We start from the raw sequence: 27,096 nt of genomic DNA on the forward strand, positions 1-27,096 counted from the left end.
TTGTCAAATACTTAGCAGCCCAACTTGGGGCAAGACAGCAGCTGGCTCACCCTACCTGTGGACAGAGGCAGAGCGGGTTCTGGAGTGGGCAGGGGGATTTGTCAGCATCTGGATTGTGACTGGTCCAGCATGCCCTCCCCTGCCTGTTGGGCAGCGGGACTTAGACCTGCTTTCTCAATGAAAACAAGCAAACCAATGAGAATAGACACAATAGGATTGCTCCACGCTGCAGCAGGGCAGGAATCTGAGCAAGTCGGGGCACTCCAGACCCTCCGATCAGGAAGTACGCCCTGGCACAGGTGGCCATGGGTGGCGGTCACTCCGCCTTCAGAAAGCCACTTGGAATGCAACCTGCACAATTGCCTTCATCCTTTACCGCCCTGCCAGATTGTTGACGGAAGCAACCTTATTACCAGTCTCCAAAACATCTCCATAAAACCCACCGATCACAGACTGTAGCATGATTACAGCCACCCCGCTATTTGACGAGCTGCTGCAATTTCTCCCAGGGACTGGATGATGCAGGCTTCCTTCACCAGGTTCCCATGGGTGTGCCCTGTGTGGACCACAGAGCCAGCTCCAGAAAGGAGAAGGCAGGAAAGAAGAGACTTCGGTCCCTGCTTTGTAGTCTTCCTTTCTTAGGGACCTTTTTTTTGAGGTTATCTTTTTTTTTTCTTCCTTTGTTCTTTCAGTCTCACATGTCTCCCTCCACCTGCTGTCTCTCTTAGCCTTCAGAAACAGATGTGGCCCACTGGAAAGACAACCTCACAGTCTTCCTTGCTTCCAGGGGAGGACGGACATCAGCCGGAGGGCCCTGGGGGAGGGGAAGGCTCAGGCCTCGCTGCCTGCAGCTGCGGAAGAAATCTCTGATGAATTTCAAAACCTGCCTTTGCTTTGGATGTGATCAACAGTCACAGTGGGGCCTCTGTGTTTTACTATATGAACAAGCTCAGAGGGAGGGAGAAATGCAGCCCCCTGGCTCTGCCTCTCCCCTGCCACAGTGGCTGAGTGGAGGGCAATCCTCATCTGTGCAAACTGTGAGATGTTTAGCAGGATGCAAAGCTGGAGCCAGCTTGCTGCTCCTACCCGAGTGCCTGGAGCTGAGAGTGTAGGGCACCCCTGCGTGTGGGGTCCTGGTGGAGCTTCCAGTATGAGAACACAGGTGGGGACCACACCAAAGCACCCCCTCAGAGGGCTCCCCCCGCGGCCTCTTTTCTAGGCTGTCCTTTGGAGGAGTGGCTTTCGGAATGACCAGGATACATTGGTGATAATTGGGCTGGAAATTATATAATTTCATGCAAGTAAAATTCCTGTCTCAGGTTGTTACAGCCTCCAGCCTTATCAGGAAGGTGGGCAGGTGCTCATTGAAGGTGTTTGCTCAATATTTGTCGATTAAGCTCAACAATACCTTCTTCTCCATCAGCAACAATGTGACTGTCTCTTGGCTTCCCTGCCCGTCAGATGGAGAGTTCATTCATTGATTAATTCAACAGACAGCTCTCATGTGTACAGGACTGTAACCGGTGATGGTGGGAGAAGACAACCTTGTTCCTGTCCTCAGGAGGAGGTTTGGTGGGATCGTGGGGTTCATTTTTAAAGGCATAAAGTCAGAATCCTCTGTCAGCAGGAGAGGCAGGAAGAAAGGAGGTCGTCTGCCTTTTCTTTCAGTGGTTGAAGCCCCTTTCACCTAAGGCTTCCTTTCCAGGCGCAGCCCTAGAATGTCAAGGAAAAGCCATGTGACCCATCCACCCCCACCGCCAAAGGCAGGGCCGGTGTCCTTCTGTGTGTCCCAGGGAAGCCTGGGAGGAGGTGAGGGGACCTCACGGCCACAAGAACCGCAGTTGTATTGAAAAGCAACTCGTCCAGTCCCGACAGGTTTTTTTTTTCCGGGAGTCTCAGGGTTCCATCTAATGCAGAGCTTCTCAGAGTCCGGTCTCTGCCAATAGCAGTGTCATCACCCAGTCATATAGTTGGGTGTTTGTCCCTTCCAAATCTCATGCTGAAATGTGACCCCCAAGGTTGGAGGTGAGGCCTGGTGGGAGGTGTTGGGTAATGGGAGCGGATTCTTCGTGAGTGGCTTGATGGGGTCCTGGCAGTAATGAGTGAGTTCTGGCTCTGTTAGTTCGCCTGAGATCTGGTTGTTAAAAAGGGCCTGGCACCTCCCACGCTTGCTCTTGTTCCCTCTCTCACCATGTGACACACCCACTCCCCTTGCCTTTTGCCATGAGTGGAAGCTCCCTGAGGCCTCACCAGAAGCTGGCATTGGAGCCACGCTACTTATACAGCCTGCAGAACTGTGAGCCAAATACACCTCTTTTCTTTATAAATTACCCAGTCTCAAGTATTCTTTTATAGCAATGCAAAATGGATTAATCCACCCAGCTACTCAGAAATGAAAAATCTCAGGCCACATGCACATGTACTCAATCGGAAATGCTGGGCCTGGGGCTCGCACCTGTGTTTTACCAACCCCGCCCCCGCCACTCCGCCGGTCCTCGGGCACGCTGTAGCACACTGCTTCCCACATTTGGCTGCATGTTGGAATCACTCAGAGAGTTTTTAGAAACAGGAGTGCAGGGTCCCATTCTCAAGGATTCTGAGGTGATGGGGTTGGGATACGACTTGAGTATGCGGGTTTTTCAAGTCTTCTGAAGTCATTCTTGTGTGCAGACAAAGTTGAGAACTACTGGCTTAGTATCTGAGAGCTTAGCTGTTAAGAAAACAGAGGCTCCCATCCTTACCCTACACCAGAGCTATCCTTTGTGTTTTCTGGAATTCTTAGCAATTTCCAGACACTTGCTCCATCATCCGGGAGAAGATGCTAATTAGTAGCATTTAATCTGGTACCTTCCTCCTTCCTTTTTGGCAACACCTCAGAGAAAAACAGGAAACCTGAAAAAAGGCAAGGTCAGCAACAACCTCCAGGGCTTCCAGAAACACAGAGAAGTCTCTGGCTCGGTTGTTTCTGTGCAGGGGGCTGCTCTCAGCTGCTTTGCTGTAAAAGACACGTATGGGAGGCTGTGGGCTTGGCCTGCTGGTGAGCTGGGACCACAGCCCCTGCCGGGTCCATTCCCCACTCAGAAGTGGTGGAGAAAGGACGGTGGACTGGCAGGGAGGACAATTGAGATCCCCTAGATGTTTAGCACATTGTTCGATCTGACTGTGGAAATTAATAAATATGCTCACTGGAATGAAAAGAAACATCTCCTACCCAGCCAAGCTCTGTGTGAGGCAATGAAGGGAAAGTAAAAGTGCTGCTCAGAGAAATTCTAGTCTCCACTGGAAGACCCAGAGCAGCATAGAAGCAGTGCCTTTCTGAAGTGCTGGGACCAAATCGATTGGCCATCTGGGCACCTGCCCTATCCCACCATTGAACCTGTGCCCTAGGTCCTGGGAGGACCTCCTCCCTCAGCCTGGGAAGGAATGGGAGGGCAGATGAGGGACAGCCTAGACCAGTGGTCAGTTCCCCCTGCTTTTCCTTCATTTCCCTCAAATCCACCAGATCCTCATCTGCCATTTTCCTGGGCCTCAGTACTCCCACCAGCAAAGTGTTAGTGCCAGACCTCACGCTCTAGGGCATAGAGGAGACATGGGTAGGTAAAGGGAGAAGGCTTTGCATTCCAGTAGTGTTTTATGCAAGGAAAGAAAAGACCTCAGGAAAAAAAGTGTAAGAGATTCGTCTCCATACCACCACCATCCCAGTTACGGGGGTGGCTGGAGAAAAGATTTTAAATCCACCCACACAGTCCTTTAAAAAGACTTGCCTAAAAATACTGCACCTCTAGATGACCCCACTTCATTTCCCCACCTAAAAAGACACAGAAGCAACTCTCGCTTTCTTTTCCTTCCTGCGATGCAGCATGGGCTGTGAGGAGGCACTTCTGAATCCAGTGAATAACTGCAGGCATTGGGAACCATCCTCCCAACCACATGGATAGACTTGGGACTTGACATAGGTCCTTGAGAGATGCTAAGGAGAAGGAGTTGGAGGCTTGGCTACCTGTAGCCTGTGTCACAGATATACTGCTGCAGGTCACAGGAGGCAGAGCTCCTGCTGATGGGTTTTCCGGTTCTGGTTTGGACAAAGGAGGAGGGCGGGGCATAAGAGCTGGGGAGGAGGAGGAAGGGGCACTACCTCGTTCTGCCCCTGCGCGCTGAGCTCTGGCTTTTTCACCCTGTTTTTCTTTTCTTGGAGGCCCAGAAGTCTTCAGAGAGGGTGTTTGAGACAGAGCTAGTCTAGGTCCAAGTTTGGAGTAGGTATGCAACTGTCACTATAAACACTTCCCAAGAAGATGACCTACTTCTGCAGAAAGCACTTGAATTGCACGTGGAATCTGCTCTTTTTAAGTTTGACCGAGTCATCTGTGCTCCGTGAGCCACCGTGGTGGTCTGGCGCTGTTGCTCAGCTCTCGGAGGCTGAGGAGTGTCCCTGGCTCTGGAACTGAGGGGGTTAACCAAGTGCTTCTCTGCATTGTTAGCGGGGAGGAAGGCGGGCCTGGAGAAGGTCAAGCCCTTCAGATGAAACCCTCTTTGAGCAGTTGAGCTGTTTCCACTTGTGGTTTTACAATGGCCCTATGAAGACCAGCCCAAAAAAAAAAAAATCATCGAAATGGGTCAGGTGAGGGGACCCTTGAGTGGAGGCCCAGCATCAAGCGCTGGCCCAGTCTGAGAGTTAGCTGCTGTCTAGGGTTCTGAGCCCTTTGGAGAGGAAAGCATCTGAGGCCAGCCTTCGATTTGGGAAAGGTCAGTGGGGAATTCCATGGCAGAAGAACTATGCCGTGCAGGAAGGGAGAAAAACAAGTCAAGCTTTCCCTGGCGTGGAAGAATAAAGGGCAGAGGGTGGACCAGTGTTTTTAATGCCACATGTCAGCAGGTAGCTGCTCGCAAAGGGCCAGCCTCTTCTTCGAAGTTTTTGTTGATGGTCTCCACCAATTCCAGTTTGTTTTTCCTTTGTATTGTTATTAGCACCAAAATAGAAGACACTTCTCCACTGTCTCCTCAGAACACCCCATGCCTACCTCTGTCTTGTCAATAGGATGCTATATTACAGCTCAGCACCTACTTATCTGTGTGCCTTGCCAGGATATAAGAAGGCAGGCATCATATCTCTTATCGCTGGAATCCCAGCACTATCTCAGCATATCACAGTAGTGTGTATAGACCCACAATCTTTTATCTGCAAATTCCACATTCACAAAGGTCTGGAAACCTCGAGCTTTCTTACAACTCATTTTGCAGAAAACCCTGGGCTAGATGTTGTCAGGGTTGCAAAGTCAAAATGTAGGAGCAGAGTGGAAACAGCAGACTCAAATACATGGCAAAACAGAACAGAACCACAGGGCAAGGCAGGCAGCAAGCTGTTGAGTATGAGGGGAAGAGTGAGATGTGAGTGACACATTCTGAAGTGAGCTCTGAAGAGACCTGAGGGGCCAGGTGGCACTTAAGCTGGGTTTCAATTGTAGATAAGGTTTGCAAAGATAAAGGGGTGGGGTGGGGAGATAATCGTGGGACAACATGGTTTTCTATTTCCCTAACTTTTTATGGGCATATTGCTCTCTTTCCATTAAGTTTTCAGTCTCTCCCAGGGCTAGGATCTTAGTTCCATTTCTTCCATTCTGTCCACCGTACACAGAAAATGCAGTCATCTCTCAGAATTCTCCTATTCAATAAGAAATTATTCTGGGACTTACACATAGAATGTGCTTGAGAAGATTTTCTTGAATGAATAAGAACTTAAGGGCCTGTAATTTGTTTTCATTCATAAACTTTATTTTTGGAGCAGTTTTAGGTTCCAGTAAAATAAGGGGAAAATACAGAGCATTCCCATAGACCCCTTTTCCCACTGCCCCAGCCTCCCCAACTGTTAACATTCCACACCCACGTGGTGCAGCTCTTACATTCGTGAACCTACATGGACACGTCACTATGCTGATGCCCGTTTGTCCTCGCATTCTCTCTTATTCAAGAGTAATAGAGGATGCAGACGAGGACGGCATGCCTTGCTCTGATTCAGCGACCTCTCTTTCCTCCCCCGACTTAGAGGTTCCTGGTCTGCGGAGAAACTTGCCCAGATGCAAAGCCACAGAGCAGAGACAGCAGAATCAGAAGCTTTAAAAGGTGTAAGCGGCCGGACGCGGTGGCTCACGCCTGTAATTCCAGCACTTTGGGAGGCCGAGGTGGGCGGATCACCAGAGGTCAGGAGTTAGAGAACAGCCTGGACAGCATGGCAAAACCCTGTCTCTAATAAAAATACAAAAAATTAGCTGGGCATGGTGGCAGGCACCTGTAATCCCAGCTTCTCGGGAGGCTGAGGCACGAGAATCGCTTGAACCAGGGCATCAGAGGTTGGCAGTGAGCTGATATCGCGCCACTGCTCTCCAGCCTGGGTGACAGAGCGAGACTCCAAAAAGAAAAAAACAAATAGATGTAAGCACTGAGAAGGCAGAGAGAGCATCCCTGTGCAATAGAGGAAGACATGTAGGTATAGATACTAAAGATAGAAAAGACCTCTGGTATCAGTTCCCTCCCTCAGGGTCCAGAGCAGGGGAAATATTCAAGGAACTGCTGCCTCTGATGTCTCATTGGCAGACCACAGTCAAAACCACACATTTTTCACCAGCTCCCAGGGCAGCTGAGGCCAAGTGATCTCTTCTCCCATGAGTGTGGCCTCAAGAACAGAGGTACTGACACCACAGACCCTTAAAGTGTTGTGCTCTTTACAGTTTGCAAAGCACATTTAAAGTATTGTTGCAGCCTGACCACATCCTAGTGTGCAGGGTGCTTCGGGGTCCTCCTGTCTCACAGGTGAGAGAGCTGCAGGGAGCAAGGGGATGGCCCTCCATCACACTGGGTGAGGGAGTTGAGCCAGACCCTGTATGCTGAGCCCTCAGCCCAAGCTTTCTATAGGGCATGGTGGCCGGGCCATCGACTTCAAGGTCCTCTGGCCACTGCTTGTGATAATACCAACTCAATTGTATTTAGTTTTACATTCATAATGAGAGAAAAAGTAGTCATCCTTCTGAAGTACGGTGTTTTAGTTTATATATAGCAAGAAACATTTCTGAGTCAAATACCGTTAGGAAAAGTTTCAGCATAGATCTTTACCTCGAACCCTCTCCAAGTCTTTAACATACCAATGTGATCGGGATGCAATATTTGACCGTAATTCCATTTCTGGCAGAGCATCTTGGTTGGAAATCTCTTTGGGGGATGCAGCAACAGAATCGGGGGACACGTGGCTGCTTTTCTCTCCAGGGCTTAGCTCTGAGCTGTCCTCCACGGAGGGTCTCAGAGGAGCTTGGAGGAGGAAAGATGGAAAACTGAAACCTTTAAGAAGAGTCTAAAAGGAAATGAGTTATTCAGGCATAAGAAGAAGAAGACACTGGCAGGACCCTGAAGCCAATTTTCCAATATGTGAGCACGTGAAGGATCCGCTACATAGCGTGGTGGGTGAGGGGCTGTTCTTGCAAGTAGAATGCTCAGAGCCTGGCTTCCTTACAGCCGACAGAACCGAATCAGTCGGCCACAAGGAGCTTGTTGCATGAAGACAGGGAGCCTCTGCGGCCAGGAGCCGGGCAAGGCGGGGACTCAGTATCTCAGGGTTCTCAAAGTGTCCCGTAGGACTCGGGTGGGCCAGTTTGCATCATGTATTGAGGCAGGGGACTGAACACAATGACCCATTCAGGTGGTTGTTGGCCTCAGGGTGCTGCAATAATGAGGTTTTCTGTAGAAGCAGGTCTGAAAGACAGATGCTGCAGGATGAAGAGGGGGATGGAGACCTTGGGTGAATTCATTCACACCCAAACCAGGAGGGCGGAGGGGGTGAGGGTGAGGGAGGGAGAGAGGAGGAAGACTCAGAGCAGAGTCATTTGAAAGAGCCCAGAAGCCACCAGGTGGAAAATCACCCTGCAGGGAGCTGACCTTCCTCCCTCCTCCCGAGAGGCACCAGCCGGCACTGACCCTGGGTCCCATCTCTGTGGCCTGTGAGAAAAGAGGTGAAAAGCGGCTCCTCATGCCTCGAAACCTTGCTGCCCACATCTGAGGGCTGGCCTTGATCTCTGGGTCTGTGCACCCCTCCCCCCTTATTCCTTCCTGACCTTTCATCCATGAAGCGGGGACAGAGGGTGTGGGGCTAGGGTGGTGAAGAGGGACGGAGGAGGCAAAGAAACAAAAGGAAAATCACGAAGGGAGACTGGGCCCTGGGGATAGGCTACTTGCGAACTCCTGAGTTTCATTAAATATAGAAAGGTAGGATGAAAAAATAATATTCACTCATTGTTACAGTTTCAAAGTCGGAAGCTGGCCTTGATTTCAAAGAACTTGTGTGTAATGTGATGCATGGCTTTCTCTTCTGTCTCTTTTTATAGGTAAGTGACATTTCATTCTGCTCATCCCCAAGGCAAAGTTGGATGTTTTTAAAGTGGAAAAAAAAATGAACGGAAAAAGAAACGGGGAAGGTGGGAAGAGGTGGAAATGGAAGGGCACAGGTAGGTGCATACTCAATTCTTCATCTTTTGCACAGACTGGTGGGGGGGTCTTCCCCCTAGATTCGGTGGAGATTCCTTTCCTCAGGACGGAAGGTCCAGGTGGTGACTGTGGCTTTTGAGATGATGATGGCTTTGTTCTTTGAAAGGGGTTTGTCCTGTGACACAATGGCCAGCACTTTTGCTAGAGGTCTTTCCTGGGTGAAGTTCCAAGTCAGAAAGGATTTGAGGTTTTGCACGCTAATGCTATGTGTCAGCTACATTGCTGTGAGTAGGGCCTAGAAGAAGTAGGGAAAAGTGTTCTGGAGAGGCAGGATTAAAACATTCCAGGAAGGAAAATCAAGAACAAGGAAGAACGTCATTCCTGACATGATCAGGCAGTAAATGGCATGGAAATTTCTGGACAGAAAGGAGGTTTGTGGGAAAACTGAGATCTTGTATATTAAGAAATTTTTACTTAATTTTAAGGTCTATCCAACTACTGTCAATGTATTTTTCTATTCCTGCCTGGTCGCCGAGGCTGAAACATCACTTACTTTCTCTTTAGCATGAGGCAGGGTAGATTTCTAAAAGAGCTGGGGGCTGGTTTGTCATTGTAGTCACTGTACCTTTTCTTGGTCAGTCAAGAAAGGCGTTTTGAAGTTCCAGGCTAGTTTTGGCTTTCTACTGCTCTTAAATATAATTGCTTTCCCCTAAGAGTAGAGTGAAAATGCTCTTTTTTTTCCCCCTGTGAGTTGCCAACAATCCACTGATATAATTGACTGATGGCTCTGTCCCACACGTATTTGTTATTTTCTTTGCGAGAGAGAGAAACGTAAAACATTCTATTTAACAGTCTATAAATCCAGACTGGAAACATAAAACTCAATTCAATAAAAATATTGAACATACTCAGTCTTATCTTAAGTCCAATTAAAGGAGATTAACAGAATGAAGTGGGGGCTGGGTTAACAGAAAGGGGAAAAAGACAAAAACCATTTCAACTTCAACACTATGTCTAAGGTCTCAGAGGAAATGCTCTCACAAACACGAGAGAAATCTATAGGCTTCGGAAATCTTTGAAAGAGACAAAAATACTAGAACTTGTTTTTGAAAGTGTATAATTCTATTTCTATCATTTGAATACACAGATGTTCTTTAAATCTTCTTTCTCTTGCTTTTAACAAAGAGGGAGGATAAAAGAAAACTCAAAACCCAGCTTCCCCCTCTAAATTAGGAAAAGTGTCACCATATGTTGAAAATCACAAAGCATCTTTTTTCATGATGCCATGTCCCCGTCCTGTGGTCTTTCATTTCCTCCGAAGACACTGTGACTCATGTCACATTTTCACGGCTGCAGACACACCTGGGAATTCTTCTTGGTATTTGTCCTGCATAATGGGGAAAATTAAGCTGCCACGTATCTGGCTCCTAGCCCGAGCAAGGGCTTTACACCACCCCCACCCTGCTTTGAAAGGGAAGAAAATCTGAAACCAGGAAGCACTCCTAGAAACTGCCCAACATGGTAATAAGAAGGTGGGTTCTCAGCCACGTGGCTTCCTGCAGTCCCTCTGCCACAGCCAAGGCCTGTGGATCAAGGTTGATGGAGTCACTGATTTAGCGGGAACATTCGTGTGTTTTTGAGCGTGTTCACAGAAGAAGGGCTGCAACATAATCGCTTCTTGGTCTTGAGGTCCTCCCTTTTCTGCATAGTGTAGGCATTGCATGGATGAAAAGAGACGGCCTTCCCTCCTGGCTCCCTGTGGACCTCAGAACTTGCCTTGTCAGCTTGGGGCGGGGAACGCTGAGGGGCCCAGCTTATTGTGATGGATGAAGGCAGTCCCTCAGAATTTCCCATTAATAAGGAGGTAATAGAGTATATGTTAATTTTACAAGAACATGTTCCACAGAGCATATAAGTACATGGGATATATTTGAATAGTTTTAATATGCTATGATTCTCAGAACCATGGGAATGAAATTCTATTTGCACCTACCTAATAAACAACACATTCCCCAGCACTACTGGGCCCTGGTGGAATAAGAGGACAAAGGTGTAGTGTTTACAGGCACCCCTCCCCCAACACACAAACACTGGCACGTGCTCACACACACATTCATATTCCTACATGCATACTCACAGAGCTGTGATTTTGCCTTTGAAAGGTGACAAGGAGCAAAGACATTTTTCAGAACCAGATCTGGCCTCTCAGTGTTGTTTCCCAAGATATATGTGTCCTGTTTCATCACCCTCATCGCTCACCAAACGCCTGGCCCCGTCGCTGTGTTTAACTTCACAGCTTGGCTGCCGAATGCGCCAGGCTCTTCATTTGCTTGGAATCCATCGATCTGACCATCTCCCTAGCGCCAGTGCCCCAGGTTGGCACGTTAATCATCTTGGGTCCAGCATTGATCTCTCTCACTCCATTCCTCTCTCTGCCTCTGGTCCTGAGGCCTTCCTTGACCGCTCTGTCTGTCTGCAGCACGGGCCAGGCCACTGAGAGGGTTTCTGCTTCTCAGCTCTGGTTCTCTAGCTTTGAGGGAGCAGCAGTGAGTGCGAGGGGGACTGTGTGCACCGCTTCTAGCAGAGATGGAAACAAAGAACTCTGTGGTCTTCAACAGCAAGTCACGCCCTTGGCAGCCCTGGCAAAGCCGGCTGTGAGGAATGCTGGGGTTCCCACTCTCTCTTTGGACAAGGATGTTTTTGTTACCTTTTTTTTCTTTTTTAGCTAAGGCTTACCAAGTGTCAGACGTCTTACTAAACAATACACACACACACACAGAGATTTCTTATTTTCAAAGTAATTCTATGATACTGGTTTTATCATCCTCTTCTTACAAACAAGAAAATCCAGGCTTAAAGCGATGAGATAATTTGCCCAAGGTCACATGACCTTGAAGCTTGAATTAGAGCTTGTGTCTATCTGACTACAGTATTTGTGCACTTAACTGCTTTGGGATGAAAATTCTATCCCAAAAGAGCAGAAGGTGACAGGAAAGGAAAGTCTTTGGACCACCCTGGGCTCGCTCCCCTCTAGCTGTGCAGAGCAACCAAATTCTTGACTGCTAGGCCTCTCTGGACAGGGCTCCAGTGCAGCCAGCACAGGGAGGTGACAAAGAGCTGGGCCCAGATTTAGAAGAACCCAGTTTGAGGCCTGCATCTGTTACCAATTTGCTGTGTGCCCTTGGGCAATTTATTAAGTTCTCTGGACCTCTCAACATGGGACAGAAGCATGGTAGTGTAATACTGCATAAGCTTAACCAGAGACCAAGTACCTATAAAAGGATGCTCTGACAATATTTAATAATTATCATTACTTGAAAAATCCCCTCTCATCATAGCCTTCCAAATTTCTGAATCTAGTTCTTGATTTTTCTAATGAGGTCTAGAATTTTTGCCAATACAAGGAACAGTTTTTGGCAGCTTTCTGCATCTTCACTTCCTTTCAATACCAAGCCTAGTGGAGAGCAAAATTAGCCTGCCAATCACTCAGAGGCGTATGGGCCCCAGGAAATTAAATTCCCCCTCTCTCCAGCTGTCTATCCCCAGTGCCAGGTACCAAATGAACACGCGCCATACGTTGCGGTTCCCGTGTCTTCTTCCTATATGTTAATTTGATAATTTTAGTAAAATAAACCAAGTAGATTTGAGATGTAGTTCATTATCCCCAAAGTCAAGAGATTATAGAATGCCGTGAGTCAGAAGGGGGCCACTGCTCTCTTCCATTGTTTTTTTTTTTTTTTTTTTTTTTTTTAGATTTTAATATTTCCTTTTTCTGGCAACATTTAAAAGCCACTCTTTTACATCTGTTGCCATCCTTTAATGACAGACAGAATAAAGGGATGATTGTTACTCAGAGAAGCTAAACAAAGGGACTAGGATCACTTGGCACATCCTCGTGTGTGGCTGACTTTGAACTCCTGGAGCCCATATCCTCCGCGCTTCTGCTGGGCACCAGAGGCAGAACCCGCGGAACTGCTTCCTGCAGCCACGGATGGGTACCCACCAAGCCTTAGGGAGAACCGTGCTCTAAATGCCATCTGTGTTTGCCAGTGGCATTCACGCGTCCCCTCCTGTCCTGCAGGGAAATTAAGAAGGGATCTCCTCTCAAGGCTGACACCTGGAGACAGCGGCTTCCTCTTACACATCCTTCCCACGCCTCATCTCTGGAGTGAGTTATCTTAATCCTGACATTTGCCCAGCCATTCAGAATGTAAACCTTTTTGTACTACAGGGTAACAAATATTTTGGGTAAACAGTGATTGCATTGATGTGGAAAGCCAAGTAGAGATCCCTGGCAAGTGAAGGATAAAGAGCTTTGTCCATACTGTTTGGTCACTGTTATGAGCTGAACAGGGTCTTTCCAAAATTTACATGTTGAAGTCCTGACCTCCAGTAATTCAGAAGGTGACTGTATTGGGAGATACTTAAAGAGGTGATTAGGGCAAAAAGAGGTCATATGGCTAGGACCGAATCCAATATGACGAATGTCCTTATAGAAAGCGATTGGGACACAGCACACAGGGAGGAGAGTTCATGTGAAGACACAGAGACGCCTAAGAGGAAACTGACACTGCTGACACATTGATCTTGAACTTCTAACCTGCAGAGTGTGAGGAAATAAATTTCTGTTGTCTAAGCTACCCAGTCTATGGTATTTTATTATGGCAGCTCTAGCAAACTAACAAAGTCACAAAATGCATTCATCTAGACTCAGTCCCAATGTCTGGGAACAAGCAGAACTGGCCGTGGGCCACGGAAAAGAGGCAGGCTTGTGAGACAAATTCCCACCCCACCGTATTTTGCCTGACTTTTGTCAAGTTCCCATGTTGATCCCCAGTTTCCTTATCTGTACAATGGGTATGATATATATCTCATTGCTGTTTTGAAAATTAACTGAGATAAGGAATAATAAATATTTTAAGACACGCATTGCTCAGTATCCAGTTTTGCTGACTCAATTTCTCTTAATGGTCATAGGAATAAAAATACACAGTAAATGTGATGTTGTAATGTGTGGTATATATTAGGCTACATATTCACTAAAGTCACTGCATCAGTCTGTTGTATTTTTTTCTTCTGGTAATTGGAGACAACACATCTATTCTGAGGATTCAGTGCCCAGGGCTATTGAATTCCTCAACCCATGGTCAAGTGACTGAGTGAGGCCAGCCCTTCACCCTTCACCCTGCCTATCACTCCTTTGCTCTCAGCCTTACTGCTGTGGGAGAAGCAGTGCCATAGAATATGGCTCATGAGATGTCCACACCCTGCCCCTGGCCCTGCCTCCTGTCTTATAATTGCCAGAGGGTTCCTTTATTTCAATGAAACTTACAGTTACAAACAGCTACGGCCAGACTCATGGATTCACTTCTAATGACTAGCTTCACTGAGGAGGAGATCATTGACCATAATATACCACAAATGCACAAGGCGTTGCGAGGGCAGGAGACCACCTGACTGCCCCCAGCCTGGCCTACCCCATTGGAGCCATGCCTACAACCACCCCTCACAGAACAGAGGATCCCAGAATGAAGAGACATACTCGACAAACACATGCATTTCTGACATCCTGAGATGGGAGATGCCTATGATCTCTGGGCAGAGGTTGACTGAAAGCCAAGTAGCCCTGGATGACGTTCCCAGAGTCCCCGACCCACAACAGAGTCCTCAGCCTCTCTGGTCCACAAATGGATAAGATCAGTGCAACAGAGACGTCCAGGGTCCTGGTGAAGGACTCACAAAGCTGCACTCACTAAAGGCTGATGACACACTACCATTCCAGTGGGATGACTTACCAGGGAGGGGGGCATTCTTTTCCAGCTGTGGCTGGGATCAACATTTCTGGAAGCTGAGCTATTGATCTGTGGCTGGGTGAGTAAAGATCCAGGTCTCACATCTGAGCGATTCAGCCCCATGCACTGGGGTCTGGGGCCGTGCAGTGTTCTCTAAGGAACTGACTTGGAGGCCTAGGGGACCCTAGCAGAAGGGGAGTGCTTTGGCTGGCCCTTTGCTCCATTGCCATGGCCTTGGTCCTCACAATTATGCTGCAAGGAAGTAAGTGGGTTTCAGGGCTGGCTTATTGGATCTTGCCATCCCACCTCTGTGCCCTACCTGGGATTCCTTCATTTAAAAGCTTCTTTTTCCCTTAAAGAGGAGGACCCCAATTCTGGGCAGAATCTACAAAGCCTGTGGATCCTGGCCTCTGCTTGCTCTCCAACTCTGCTCTTCCGTGGGTTGTTCTTGTTCCAGCCACCTGGGCTTTGCCGTAGTCCTTACTCCTTCTGCCTAGAAAGCACTTCTGATCCCTCTGTTACTGGGTGACCCTCAGTACCTTTAATAATTCAACCGAAGACCCTTCCTTGGGAAAGCCTTCCTGATCCCCAGGCTGGGTGCTCACCCTTGAATCCACCCTTTTTCTTCTATGCATTTGTTTTGCTTTGTATGTAAGCATTCATTGGTGCTCTGATTCCAGCTCCCCAGTAGGGGAGCAGCCCCATGACAGCAGGTGATACACCTTCTTTTGCCCCCAGTGAGCTTCCCAGAACCTGGAACCATGTGAGTACTAATCCTGGTCATGGAGGGACCCAGAGAAAGTTTCCTGCCTTACAGCAGTGAGCAAGTGTTCAGCCTCGTGCTTCTCTCAACAGGAATAGCCCAGGAGTGAAACGTCCCTGAGCAGACCTTGAGACTTTGAGGGCTTCTCACCCTGATCTCACCTTAGAACCACCCAGGAACTTTTAAACCCATGGACGCCCTCCCCACATGCCTGAGATTCCAACTCAAACAGCCTGGGTGGGCCTGGGCATCCGCAGGTGTCTCCTCTGTGCTACCAGGATTGGGACCCACTGCCTGGAGACACCCTCTCTTCCCACTGCTGGGTTTTGATTAGTTGAACTCCAAGGGCACCTCTCTTCCAAGTTAATAGTCATAGTTGCCACACACTGTGCAATCCACTTCTGGTGCCTTGTGCGGCTTGAGCTTCATAATGATGAGAGATAGCTTTTGTCGTTCCTATTTTGTGGTTGAGAAGCTGCAGCCAGGGGAGGTTAAGTATCTTGAACAAGGCCTTGCAACTCACATGAGAAGAAGCAGGATTTGAACTCATGCCAATGGAACACGAGCCTGGGCTGTTAGTGTCTATATTATATCACCTTACGTTCTTGTGGCAGAGGACTTTGGAAGCACTTTGTGTCATGCATATATGTGTGCATGTATATCTACCTCTATCTATCTATCTATCTATCTATCTATCTATCTATCTATCTGTAAATAAATATCTTCTACAGCACTTACTATCAGCAATGCCTGGATATTCCTAAGTATTCCCAGGTAGTACTACTAATTGTGAGTGGAGATTTTAAAAAAAAAACAAAAACCTTGATTATATGTTACAAGTCCCTAAGTGGTTGGGCTGTGGCCCCTCACCTGCTTGTAGCTTTGAGTGGAGAAAGGACAGCACCCGCGTGGCCACCGAAACAAGCTCTCCTGGCCCTTTCCCCTGTTGGATAGGAACAAGGGGCAGGATATAATGAGTCTAAAGCAGAGACTTAAGATGACTCCTTTCTTCCCCCTTCTAATCCCCAATTTCAGACAAACATGGGGCCCAGAAGTGAGTGAGGGAATTAAATTAAGGAACACAATTTCTCCCTGTCATTGAACTCTGACTAATGAGTCTATTTCTGGGTAATAAGAAGGAGCAGGAAGTGACAAGGCAGTGTAATGAATTAGTGGCCCAGAACCTCGTTAGTCAGAATAATCTTTCCACGAAAGGTAAATGATGCAAACGTTAATTATAAAGCCAGGGTGGAAATGCATCCCATTATTTGGCTTCCTAAGAAATCTATCCCAGTTATTATGAGGCATTTCAAACAACAATAACAATAATAATAAAGTAAGGCTCAGTGAGAACTTTAGTCCTTGGGGAGACTTGTTCCACTGGTGGTGGCCGGTAGGGGGAGCACAGCTTTCTGCTTTCAAAAGGGGCTGGAGCTTGGGGAAGCCACCACGCCCCTCTGGGTTTTGTACCAGGAAAGATGCGGTAGAGTCCCTGTCCCGGTTTCTCTGTGCCCCGTAGGGTTGGTCATTCAGGGCTGTCCACTCTAGTCATCCAGATCCAGATGAGGTGAGGAGTTTAACTAGAAGTTTCCCCCATCCAAAGAGAGAGAGAGAGAGAGAGAACAAGGCTGAGGATTTTGCAGGAACTCTGGCATGTTAAAGGGGGTCAGAGATCAAAACCATGGAGGAAATAGAGGTTAAGAGGTCAGGCTCTGGAATCAGCCAAGCTGAAACCCTGGCTCGCCATGATTGGAAAAGTCCCGTAGCCTGGTTTCCTGCTCTGAGAACTGGTGGCTACCAGAAGCATCTGTTTAAGGAGGTTTTTATGAGCATTAAGTGAGGTGTGCATGTGAGATACTTAGCATCCATTAAGTGCTTCATAGATGCCACTGATAATGTGTTTTGAATGCAGAGTGAAGGTTGTAGAGCTGGAAGGCATGTTAGGGGCATGTTAGGGGCATTGAAGGAGGCTACCTTGTTGCACAGGTGAGGGGGGAGGGCAACGTCACTCAGCAATTCAGCGGTGGGGGCACCGAGGCTTCCGGCTCCAGGCTCAGGTGAGGCTCTGTCATCTCAGGCTGTTTGTCATAGCCTGGGTTTTTGGCCACAGCATAGAAGGGAGGCAGCAGGGGAAAGACAGGAAGCTAAATCAGTCTCAAGAAATGCAGTTGCTGAGACCATTCCTCAGGAGAGCAAATAAACCATATTAAAACTATAAAAAAGTATCCTGCAGCTCCGTGGTAATAAACTTGTCTGTGACTTCACGGCTTAGAAGGTCCCAGCTTCTGAAGATTTGAGCGATCTCTTGCCCACAAAGGGGCCGGATAAGTCATTTGCTGAAGGGAGAGAAGTTTGAAGCAAAGATGCTGGCACTCTCCGGAGCCTCCTTCCAGGTGGCGTCCGATTGAAGCGGAGGCTGGGAGCTGCTTTTGTTTTGAAGGCTTTGTCGGTGTCTGACTGGCAACTCTTGGTAATGAGAGAAGAAAAAACAATTAATTGGAAATGAATTTTAATTGTCTCTGACTCCTCATTTGTAGGCTATTAAAATGAGTTCCCTATTAAAATATCACATCAGCTGCCTCACTCCAAGATAACAGAAGGCGCCCCAAAAGCTCTTCTCCTGCCACGTCCAGTACCCACTCCACCCTCATCCCCTTTGGCAAAAAGTGGGCTCGGAGGTTTTAAGCAAAATGAACCAAAGAAGGAAAAATAGAAAAAAATTGCTCTCAAATCTTTCCTTTCTTTCTTTCTTTCTTTCTCTCCCTCTCTCTCTTACTTTCTTCCTTCCTTCCTTCCTTTCTTTCTTTTTCTTTCTTTCTTCTTTCTTTCTTATACATTTATTTATTTTTGCTAAGGAATACATGTCTGCATTCATGTAGTATTCTGTGGCTGTCTGTTTCGTTCCCATTTCTGAGTGCTGTGGCAACGTGGGTTGGAAAGCAGGGCTCCGCTGGAGCTGGGCCTTCTCTGCCAGCTGCTCAGTCTCTACCTGGAATGGAGGCTGTAGTGGGGCTGGGGTGAGGCCAAGGGAAATGGACATGTGGTACTGGGGCAGGAGACAAGGCTAGGAGGCCTGACAGTCGAGGGCTAGGACTACTGTGTCCCCTTCTCCTCCCTGCCTCACTTGCTCCTCTACCCCACTGGGTCAGGGAGGTTCATTTCTCGACATGGATGCTGTCCGAGAGGCGTAGCCCTTCTTGGAGGCCTCAGATCTAGGCTAAAACCACCTCTGATGCTGCCCGGCGAGGTGGCTGTGTGATCAGAGCCAGCCCCTTCCCCTCTGCTCCCTCTGTGAGCAATCCTAGGTATTCACTCAGTAGATGCTAAAGGCCTGGGGCCCAGGAGGCTCCCAGGGAATGTGGCCCCCAGCCCCTTCTGAAAACAGACGTCCTTCCCTCTGCTTCACTGTCGGCAGAGGCTCCCCTCTTCCTCCTGCTCTGTCCTTTCTCACTCCATCCTCCCTTCTCTGTTTCCTGCCCCCATCATCTTTCTTCTGACCCTTCCTCCCAGCCCTGTTTCTCTCCAAGCAAAAGCGCCAGGAATTCCTGCCCAACAGGCTCTGCTCAAGAACTTGCTAGGAGGCTTTTGGCCCTTGCCTTTCTAGGTAAGGTCTGCACTCAGCAACTTTATGGATGCCAGGAGGGAGCCATTCCTATCTCCCCCAGGCAGAGGCATAATCAGCCTAGAAGGCCAGTTCCACCCCTAGCCTCCCTGGGGCGCTATCTGGCGTCTATACTCATCCTCCCCGCCCAACCCCATCACTGCACACTTTATTTATGGAAGGCCAGGGACACCTGTCTCCATCCTTCTACATTACCTGCATATTCACAGGATCCACCACAGCTCCTGCTTGCCTGGGCCTTGTCAGCTCTGGGCTTGCAGAGAATGTGGTTGAATCAGTGTTAGCCCTGGGCTGGCAGGGCCTACCGGTGGCTGCCCTCACCCTCCTCTGGGCTGGCAGGGCCTACCGGTGGCTACCCTCACCCTCCTCTGGAGCCCACGCTGGGCTGGGCATATCTGCGACTTGGCAGAGGTGGCAAATGGCTCAGAGCCCTGTGAGAACCACCAAGACTCAGCGGTATAGGAAGCAGACGCCTTGGGCTAATTCACAGGCCACTGGAGAGTGACAAAGCGCCCATCGACAGTGGTCGATCAAAGAAGTGGCATCGAAAGTGGCAAAGAGAAGTGTGTCCCCTGAGCTCGCCTCAGAGTAATGACCTGGACGCTGGTGGAGGCAATGATATTTGTTGGTTTGAGAGCTAAGGCCCCTCTGAAGGCCAAGTCAAGGTTTGGGGGCTCCAAACCTTGGACAGCAGCAGGTGCTTGGCTCCGGGACAAAGAGGCCTCTGTCCCGGCTCCACCTGAGAGCACTGGGCTGGCTGTTGGCTGCCCCCTGGCTGCACCGCCTCTCAGCAGCAGATGGCCAGGGGCCCGCAGCGTGCCCTCGCTGTGTTCCTCTCCACGTGCACATCCCTTTCTCTTTGTCTTTCTACACAAATTGCCTGTTTCTGGAGTGGACTCGGCTTTCCACACCATGGGTCCGGGAGGACCGGCCTTCTTGGCAGGTGTGGGAGGAACAAGCCTGCGTGGTGCTGTCCCTCCCTCCCCACCAGGAGCAGAGCAGCAAGGGGACCCTTGAACATTTCCCCTCTGGGGAGGCCTCAAAGCATAGCACAGGCCCGAATGCATTGAGGGTTCAGGCAGGGATGCCAGCGAGCCAGGCTTCTGGGGCCAGGTGAAGGCAGAGGCGGCGACTTGAGCAAATGAGCCTCCTTTGAAGGCACCGCACCCCCACCGAGGACACTGGGCCTGCTTCACGAAGCACGCGTGGGCGTGTTTGGATGAGCGCTGTGTGGCTCTGCAGCTCCGAGGAAACCGCATCAGACACCCCGACAGCTGGAGTGCCTCACCCTTTCAGTCTCCCTGGGATTCCAGGCCATTCTCTTCGGCCTGGCCTCTTCCTATTCACCCATCAGACCAGGCTCAAACCCACCTTGTCTTGTTCATGGTGCTGTAGGCTGGCATTAATTGTATGACAGAATGTTTATTCATATATATATTTTCCCACTAGACTCTGGTGCCAATAGGAAAGGGACACAATTCTACTTAGGTATTTAGTACTCCTGGTACATAGTAGGGCCTCTGTGGAGGCTTATGGAATTCAAATACCCATGGACCAGCCTTGGCCTCTTCTTTCTGGCCTTCAAAAGAAAGGCTTTGCGATAAGTTCTCCCTTAAAACAGAGAAGACCACGGTGCCGGGGTGGGGGTGGGGTGTGACCGTGTTCCTTGCCTATTTCCCTTACAACAGAGAAGACCACGGTGCCGGGGTGGGGGTGGGGTGTGACCGTGTTCCTTGCCTATTTCCCTTACAACAGAGAAGACCACGGTGCCGGGGTGGGGGTGGGGAGTGACCGTGTTCCTTGTCTATTTCCCTTAAAACAGAGAAGACCACGGTGCCGGGGTGGGGGTGGGGAGTGACCTCGTTCCTTGTCTATTTTAGGCTTTAGCCTAAAAATAGATGGGGATGGAGAGGGCTAGGGAGGGCAGGAGGGTCAGAAAACTCCTGAGGTTTCTGGTGGTAAATTGTGAGTACAACAATGGATCAAGAAGGTGACCCCAGAACCCTTGCTGTGTGCCCACTGGGGTACAGCTGGTGACCAGGAGGATGCTCAGGGCTGCCTGTGGGCTCCTGAGTGGAGAGACTTGAGGTTGACCAGTCCATTTCCACTAACTTTGTAGGATGCCTACCTTAGAGGACAAAGGAGGCTGGTGGCCTTCTCTGAGCAGGGCATTATGGTGGCCCCAAAAGGATCACAGGGCCCTTTCTGCCAGCCCCCAGGCCTGTACTTTGTAAGAACTGCAAATTGTGTCCTCATTGTCTGTGTGTATGTGTTTCAGTGTGTGTGTCTTTCTTCTTATCTCTTCATCATCTGGGTCACCTGCCCACCTCTGGACAAAGCTTGCATTTAAATATGGTGCCAGACAGTGACGTGATACAGTTAGCGGGTGATGCTTGCTGCTCTAATTTTGTCTGCTTTTGGGAACTCTGCAAAAATGCTCTTCCATCCCTCACTGGGAGCACTGCTGGACAAATGGTACTAAAGGGACCTGTACCTTGGGGGGCCCAGGTGACACCTGAGACCCTCTGTAGACAGCATGGCAGCCCTCCACTCTCTCGGCTCTCCTTCCTGAGGCTGGAGAACAGAGATCTCACGTTTGCAGAAGTCCTTTTAAAACAAAGTGCCAGAACAAGGATTTGACATCACCAGTGAGAAAAAATAAATTCATTTTTGCCCACACCTCCACTCCCCCGTCTGTTGGTGTCAGACTCTGATGGGTTGAAAGGCGGCACAAAGAGAAAGAGGGTAGGGAGATGATGGCAACTCGGGGAGATAATTGACTTCAGAAATGCTATGTCTTGGATGTAGGAAGAAAACAAGTGAAAATATGTTATTTTACAACCTTGATACTTCTGACCTCATGGAAAAAACATACACACACAGCGTAGGGTGAGCAGGTAGGCAGGAGGAAGGGTCCTAGCACGGGGTGCGGGCGCCCTCGCGTGGCCATGAGAAGTAGTGCCACACGCACACGTTCTCTTTCCCAGAGAAGCAGACGTGCTGCACAAGTGCTTGGCCACCGCCTACACTGAAACTGGAAAGAGCTCACTGAAAAGGAATGCAGTTCATAAAAAGTCTTCCTTCTCTACCCAAGACATTCTTGTCACTCCTAGGGCTGTCATTCTTGAAAAGGAGAGGCTGGTATAGTAGGAAGAAAGCTCAATCCTAAAGCTCAGTTTGGTGTTTGTGGCTTAGCGGCTGGACGTCCTTAGTGTGTCTTGGCTTGTCGCCTGTAAAGTGATCAGCATGACCTGGATGGTGCTTCTGCTTCCCTGCAGCTGGGATGCTCTGGCCTTGAGGATGCTGAAACACCAGAGAGCTGGCCACTCGCTGGTATCAGTCGGGCAAGCGAACTCTTTGTGTGGGATTGCTTCATTTCATTTGAAGTCATTCATTGCTATGATTGTAGTCTTTTTCTGGTTCCCATGAATCTGGTGTTGGCTCAGTGTAACAGAACCAGCCTTATTGTTCCCATTTGCAGTTACAAGAATATTGCCATTGTTATTTGCAAGCCTGATTTCCCTGTCTGGTTACCTGTAATGCTGCTTCTCTGAAATTCTCTGAAAGACAGAAAAACCTTCCCCGCGGGATATAGGTTATCAGGCACCTAAACTCATTGCAGCTCCAAGACATGCATGGATTAGGGACCAAGATGTGGGGCTCATAGTTTACAGAATTTGGTCTTATATTCTCCCTTTCATCTGGATCTTCATACAGCTACTCACTTGCTGCTAGAAAAGAAAGCTCCCAGTGTGCCAGATGGATTCCAAAGTCCCATTTCCTGCATTCATCCCACCATATTTGAAGACTCTTTTCTTTTCAAATGCTTAGCCCGGGTGAGCAGACCTCAACCTTCGCCTAGCACCCATCTTCCTGATCCTGCCTGAGCTTCCAGATCCCCAGTTCCATCTTTACTTTGGTTCTTGTATAAGACGAAGAGAGCATTTATCTTTTCTGTTTAAACCCTTGGGATATTTCTGTTTAGCAAGACAGCAATTTCGGGCAGCTACACTGTTTTATTAAGTATATTAAACAGCAGAGTAGCTCATCTGTTGTCGACTGGCTTTCTTGGCTCAAACCCAATATATCACGGGTGGTTTTCCCAACACATTTTTAAATTCTTATTACTGGCTAGGATATGATTTCACAAATGTTATTATAATAATTCATTAGTATCTTACATAACCAGTAATACAGACTGAACCTTTGCCAAATGCATTGTTATAACTTTTTGGAATGGTGGCCGCATTAATTAATCATTGCTTGTTGAGTGCCTACTATGAGCAAGAGAATTTGCATTTTTGTTCTTTCATTTCTCATGACAGCCCAATAAGGGAGGTAGGATTATCTCATTTTAACCAAAGGAGACTCTGAGGCCGAGGGAGGCTGAGCGGCTTACTCGAGTTCTCGCAGCTGCTATATCCTAGAGGAGACCAAATTCACACCCAGCTTGGACTCCAAAGCTTGTACATTTCTCATCATGTGACCCTCCACCCACAGACTGTCTGAGTACAAAATTCCACAGAGGGCCTTGACTTAGAAGACCCTCTGCCAGCATTTTGTCTGTGGTTTTGTGTGTCGTCTCAGATGAAGGTGACTCAAGACTTCAGGCAGAGGATGTTTTCCATTTAAATCCCCTAAAAGAAAATGGCCCTGTTTCTAGAAGAGAGAAAAGCCCAGACGTCTGCTTGACTTTGCTTCCAGGGGCAAGGACTGGGGTCCAGATCCATAATCTGGGAGAGTCTTTTATGGCTTTCACCTTTGGTGTTGAAGAGGACTGGCAAGCAAACCCCTTGGACCAATGGTTTCACCCTTGGAAACTTAGCTGGGTAGGTCCATGTCACCATGGGACTGGACTGACATTTAGCCAGATTTTGAAATGAGAGACTTGAACCTGAACCCTTGCTTTTCTCTTCTGGATAATTTGATTTTTAGCAAGAGGCTGTTGGAAGACACAAAGGTCCATTTTGTCTCAAAACAGGTGAACATAGGGAAGAGAAACTGAAAAGGGAGGCTTTGGGAGCACATAACTGTTTTCAGATATTTAAGTGCTGTTTGGTAGAAAAGGAATGAGATGTTTTCTGTATAATTACATAAAACAAAACCAAGACTGATGGACAGAAGTTATTTGGGAGCAATCTGTTCAATATAAAGGAAATTTTAAGGGTCTAAGCTACCCAAAGAAGTGAAGGGCTGCGTTGGAGTTTTTCTAGCACTGAGGGTGTGTGTATCTGTGTGTGTGTGTGTGTCTGTGCCTGTGTACATGCGTGTGCGGGGGTATGCCTGTGTGTGCGCATGCATGCGTGACTGTGAACCTGCATATGCACATAGTGGAGGGAGCACATAAGAGACAGAAGGTTTTATCAGACGACCTTCACAATTCCATATTTTCAGGAAGTCTATAATTAAATGTTTTAACATGGGCCTTCAGGCACCACAATTAGCCATTGGAGAGACAGATTTGCTCAAGAAGTCTGCCTGGTGCACTTTTTCTTCGTTGAAAATTTTAAACCTTCAAAAATGTAATAAAAGTAGTGTATTGAACAGCTTCCCTCCATATTTACTATGCACCTTCTAAGAACAAGGCGTCTTCTTCCACAGCCACAACACAAGGTATGAATTCCAGAGACTTAGCCCAGATCCACTTCAGCCTCTGGAGTAGTCTGAATAATGTCCGTTATTACAGTCGCCTCACGACGGACCTGTCCACTTAGCTGCGTTCTGTTGCCATATCTCTTTAGACTCTTCGTATCTGGAGCAGTGCTGTTGCCTTTGTCTTTCCTGACACTGACATTTTTGATGATGACAGACTGATTGGTAGTGTTGGGCACTTTTCAGATGTTGCCCAAATCACCAGCAGCTAGATCTGCCTCTGGCATCTAATACATATGGAAACCGCACGGTGGGATAGGAGGAACTCTGTGCCCTGGTGGCCTCAGGTCCCCGAGCCCTGCCCTGCTTGCAAGCACAACTTATGTGGGAGGCAGTGAGTGCCAGGAATGGATGCTCAAGGCCTGAAGTCTGTCCTGCCACTTCAGGCCATTTGAGTTTGCGCAGATCACCCGCCTCCCGTGGAGGTCCACTTCCTCTTCTCTGCAGTGAGGACCTTTCGTGGCAGTGTTGGGAATGACATGGCATATTACAGGTAGAAGTCCTTAATAAACTCTAGCAAAGTGCTAGACCAATGCAATCGTTTATTATTTATTTTTAACATATCAGCGAGGTGCCTGAAGCTAGAACTGCATAGTGAGATTGAAAAACTTGTGAGGAAAACTATGGGGAAAGATGAAAGCCAGGCTGGCCAGGCAGGACGGCTGCATACGCAGCCATACATGACCCTGAGCTCCTCTCCAGTTGTCAAGTGGTGATCCCTCTGTGCCCACTTCCAAAGCCTCTGGTACCAGCAATGTCCATGGCTTATTGAGCATTTACTGAGGGTCAAGCGCTTTGCCAAGAGAAGCCCAAATTCTCATAAGAACCCAGAAAGTTCCTATGAGCAATATGTTAAGATGCAGAGATAGAGTTTCAGAGAGGTTACGCCATTTGCTCAACCTCATGCAGTCAGGAAATGTCAGGACTGAACAGCACATTACCAGCGCCCTGCAGAGGCCTGGCATCCTTGTCCCCTCCACTCCTCCTATGCCATCCTTGGTGGCCCTATAACACAGAGCCTTGTGACACACAGCTGGTCAGCAAGCCCTACTATAAAGTCACAGGGTTGATTTGAATCTGCAAGTGATCAGCTCTCCTGAAGCAGGACCTTGTCTCTTCACTGATATGCAGATGTATGCTAATAGGCTCCAGAGTCACCCTTCCCTCCACCACCTTCTCAGCTTTATTTATTTACTGACTTGATGAAGTGAAGAGGCTGGAGAACTAAGGAATTCATGAGCATTGCAGCTTCCGGGGCCCCTGGTAACAAACTCCCTGTCTCCCTTTTCCTGCCTGGGGCCCAGACTGGACCGGGGTTTGAGGGAGGAGAGAACACAGGTGCCTGACCATGTGCTGATGAGGCCCTGGACAGCCTTCTAAGGGCACACCCTGGGCACTCGTGAGTTGTCTCCATGTGGGTTTCAGTGGGGTCTGGTGGCTGGATGGCCTGACCATCACAGGGGTAGGTGGCTCAGCCCTCTGGCTCTGGGCAGTGCCCAGGTCTGGCCCAGCGCTGACCACTCAGCTTTCTGCTCTCTGGTATTTCTGCTCTATTCAACACAGAAGCCATGAGGGCAGCTGAGGCCCCAAGGGCAAGGTCTTCTGAGTCCTGCTTGATCATGGCAGAGAAAGAGGAGCATTTGAAACAGATGCCCTTCCTCCTGTACTCCCTCTCCCAGTGTGGAGCTGTGAGATGCAGGAAAGGCCTGACTACTGGGGCTAGGAGTTTTAGACATTCTACTGCCCAATGCTGCTACATGTCACAGTTCCTCAAGGGCATTGCTCTTTTCTTCCTTCTCTCTCTCTTCCTCTTCTCCCATCTCTTTCTTTGGCAAGAGCTCTTGGAGCTCCTGTTTCTTTTCCACCTTGGGGAAGAGGTTGTCACTGGATCTGTCCACTTTCTATGACTGAGCCTCTCGTGTCTGGACTTCTGACGCTCCGTGTGAAGCAGAGGCATGGCCAGAAGCGAGGCTAGAACAAGGCTGTCCGGGACGGGGCCTGCACATCGGTGCATGGAGAGAGAGTGGTTCAGGAGCCCCACAAGCAGCTACCTTCGGCTAACACGTCCGTCTTCTTGCACACAGCTTCCTCTGACATCATTTTATCATAGTTATTGCAGCTATCATGTTACATGATTGCTTTTAAAATAAAAAATATCTCATTTCTGGAGAAAGTGCTCACAGAGAGCAGCTGCTGCCCCTGTCCACTCTCTTCTCCATTCATGCTCTGTGCCCACTCAGGGCTGGAATCCCCTCTAGGCCACCGTCGTTTGCTCCATGATCTGCTCACAGATGGAAGTCAGCCCCCCTGACATTTGGGAATCTGCTGCCTCCCACATCAGAACCTGCTCCCTCCAGCTCTTCACCCATCTCCTCCCCTGTGCTTGAGTCCAGATAGCCTCCATGTGCAAAGACACAGAAGGGCGTTCCATGCATGAAAAGAAGAAAGTGCAATGGAAAGAAGTAGGGAGGGGGTGCCTGTGGAGTCAAGCCCAAACTCTAGATCAAATGGAGGAAAGGGTTGTCATCGTGCCTGCCAATCCCAATCATTTTTACGGCCTTTAGAAGGTACTGGGTTGAGAAGGATTCCAAAGCCAAGTCTGGGCTCCACAAGATAGGCAGCCGTGATTGATTGATAATGTCCACTTCTGGGCGTGGACACAGAAGTGCGGGCATGCTGCCTGCCCAGCTTTCAGCGGTGCCTTTCCCAGGAGCTGATCGCTGTGCCTCTGATTATGCTTCTTCCTCTGCCATTTGTGTCCAGTTTCTCCCATTTCCCTCTGATGGCTTCTAGATAACTAG

At 48.7% G+C, this 27,096-nt stretch overlaps 1 protein-coding gene and 1 long non-coding RNA gene across 23 annotated transcripts in view, besides 5 other annotated features; one reads left to right on the top strand and one right to left on the bottom strand.

The window, feature by feature from the left end:
• Positions 1 to 27,096, top strand: part of NTM (neurotrimin) — a 966,208-nt gene that overhangs the window by 281,948 nt on the left and 657,164 nt on the right. For 5 of the 22 annotated variants that reach the window (NR_170352.1, NR_170351.1, NR_170358.1 and 2 more), the window contains exon 2: positions 8,367 to 8,486. The exons of 16 other annotated variants lie outside the window; for them this stretch is intronic. Coding sequence is in view for 2 of the 6 variants with exons in the window: in NM_001352006.2 (NP_001338935.1) it covers positions 8,432 to 8,486 (55 nt within the window). In the remaining 4 variants the exon portion in view is untranslated. Of the gene's footprint in view, positions 1 to 8,366; positions 8,487 to 12,547; positions 12,635 to 27,096 lie in introns of all 22 variants that reach the window. One more of the 22 variants, NR_170346.1, reaches the window with a different exon arrangement.
• NTM-AS1 (NTM antisense RNA 1) lies at positions 9,567 to 10,994 on the bottom strand. Its single transcript, NR_126159.1, has 2 exons — positions 10,604 to 10,994; positions 9,567 to 9,853 (listed from the first exon to the last, which is right to left on the bottom strand). It is a non-coding gene; the product is annotated as an NTM antisense RNA 1 (long non-coding RNA).
• Positions 10,810 to 11,366: an enhancer, noted in NCBI's record as "H3K27ac-H3K4me1 hESC enhancer chr11:131533266-131533822 (GRCh37/hg19 assembly coordinates)". NCBI's record gives its function as "activates a minimal SCP1, AML or CMV promoter by ChIP-STARR-seq in naive H9 embryonic stem cells {active_cell/tissue: H9 hESC(naive)}" and the evidence as "EXISTENCE:reporter gene assay evidence [ECO:0000049][PMID:30033119]".
• Positions 17,790 to 18,290: an enhancer, noted in NCBI's record as "H3K27ac hESC enhancer chr11:131540246-131540746 (GRCh37/hg19 assembly coordinates)". NCBI's record gives its function as "activates a minimal SCP1, AML or CMV promoter by ChIP-STARR-seq in primed H9 embryonic stem cells {active_cell/tissue: H9 hESC(primed)}" and the evidence as "EXISTENCE:reporter gene assay evidence [ECO:0000049][PMID:30033119]".
• Positions 17,953 to 18,166: a silencer, noted in NCBI's record as "fragment chr11:131540409-131540622 (GRCh37/hg19 assembly coordinates)". NCBI's record gives its function as "represses an EF-1alpha promoter that drives an FKBP-Casp9 reporter gene in an ReSE screen in HepG2 liver carcinoma cells {active_cell/tissue: HepG2}" and the evidence as "EXISTENCE:reporter gene assay evidence [ECO:0000049][PMID:32094911]".
• Positions 21,453 to 21,747: an enhancer, noted in NCBI's record as "tiled region #15285; HepG2 Activating DNase unmatched - State 12:CtcfO, and K562 Activating DNase unmatched - State 12:CtcfO". NCBI's record gives its function as "activates a minimal TATA promoter and a strong SV40 promoter by Sharpr-MPRA in HepG2 and K562 cells {active_cell/tissue: HepG2 | K562}" and the evidence as "EXISTENCE:reporter gene assay evidence [ECO:0000049][PMID:27701403]".
• Positions 25,100 to 25,703: an enhancer, noted in NCBI's record as "H3K27ac-H3K4me1 hESC enhancer chr11:131547556-131548159 (GRCh37/hg19 assembly coordinates)". NCBI's record gives its function as "activates a minimal SCP1, AML or CMV promoter by ChIP-STARR-seq in naive H9 embryonic stem cells {active_cell/tissue: H9 hESC(naive)}" and the evidence as "EXISTENCE:reporter gene assay evidence [ECO:0000049][PMID:30033119]".

This window comes from Homo sapiens, chromosome 11 (assembly GCF_000001405.40).
Source record: "Homo sapiens chromosome 11, GRCh38.p14 Primary Assembly".
NCBI classification, from domain to species: domain Eukaryota; kingdom Metazoa; phylum Chordata; class Mammalia; order Primates; family Hominidae; genus Homo; species Homo sapiens.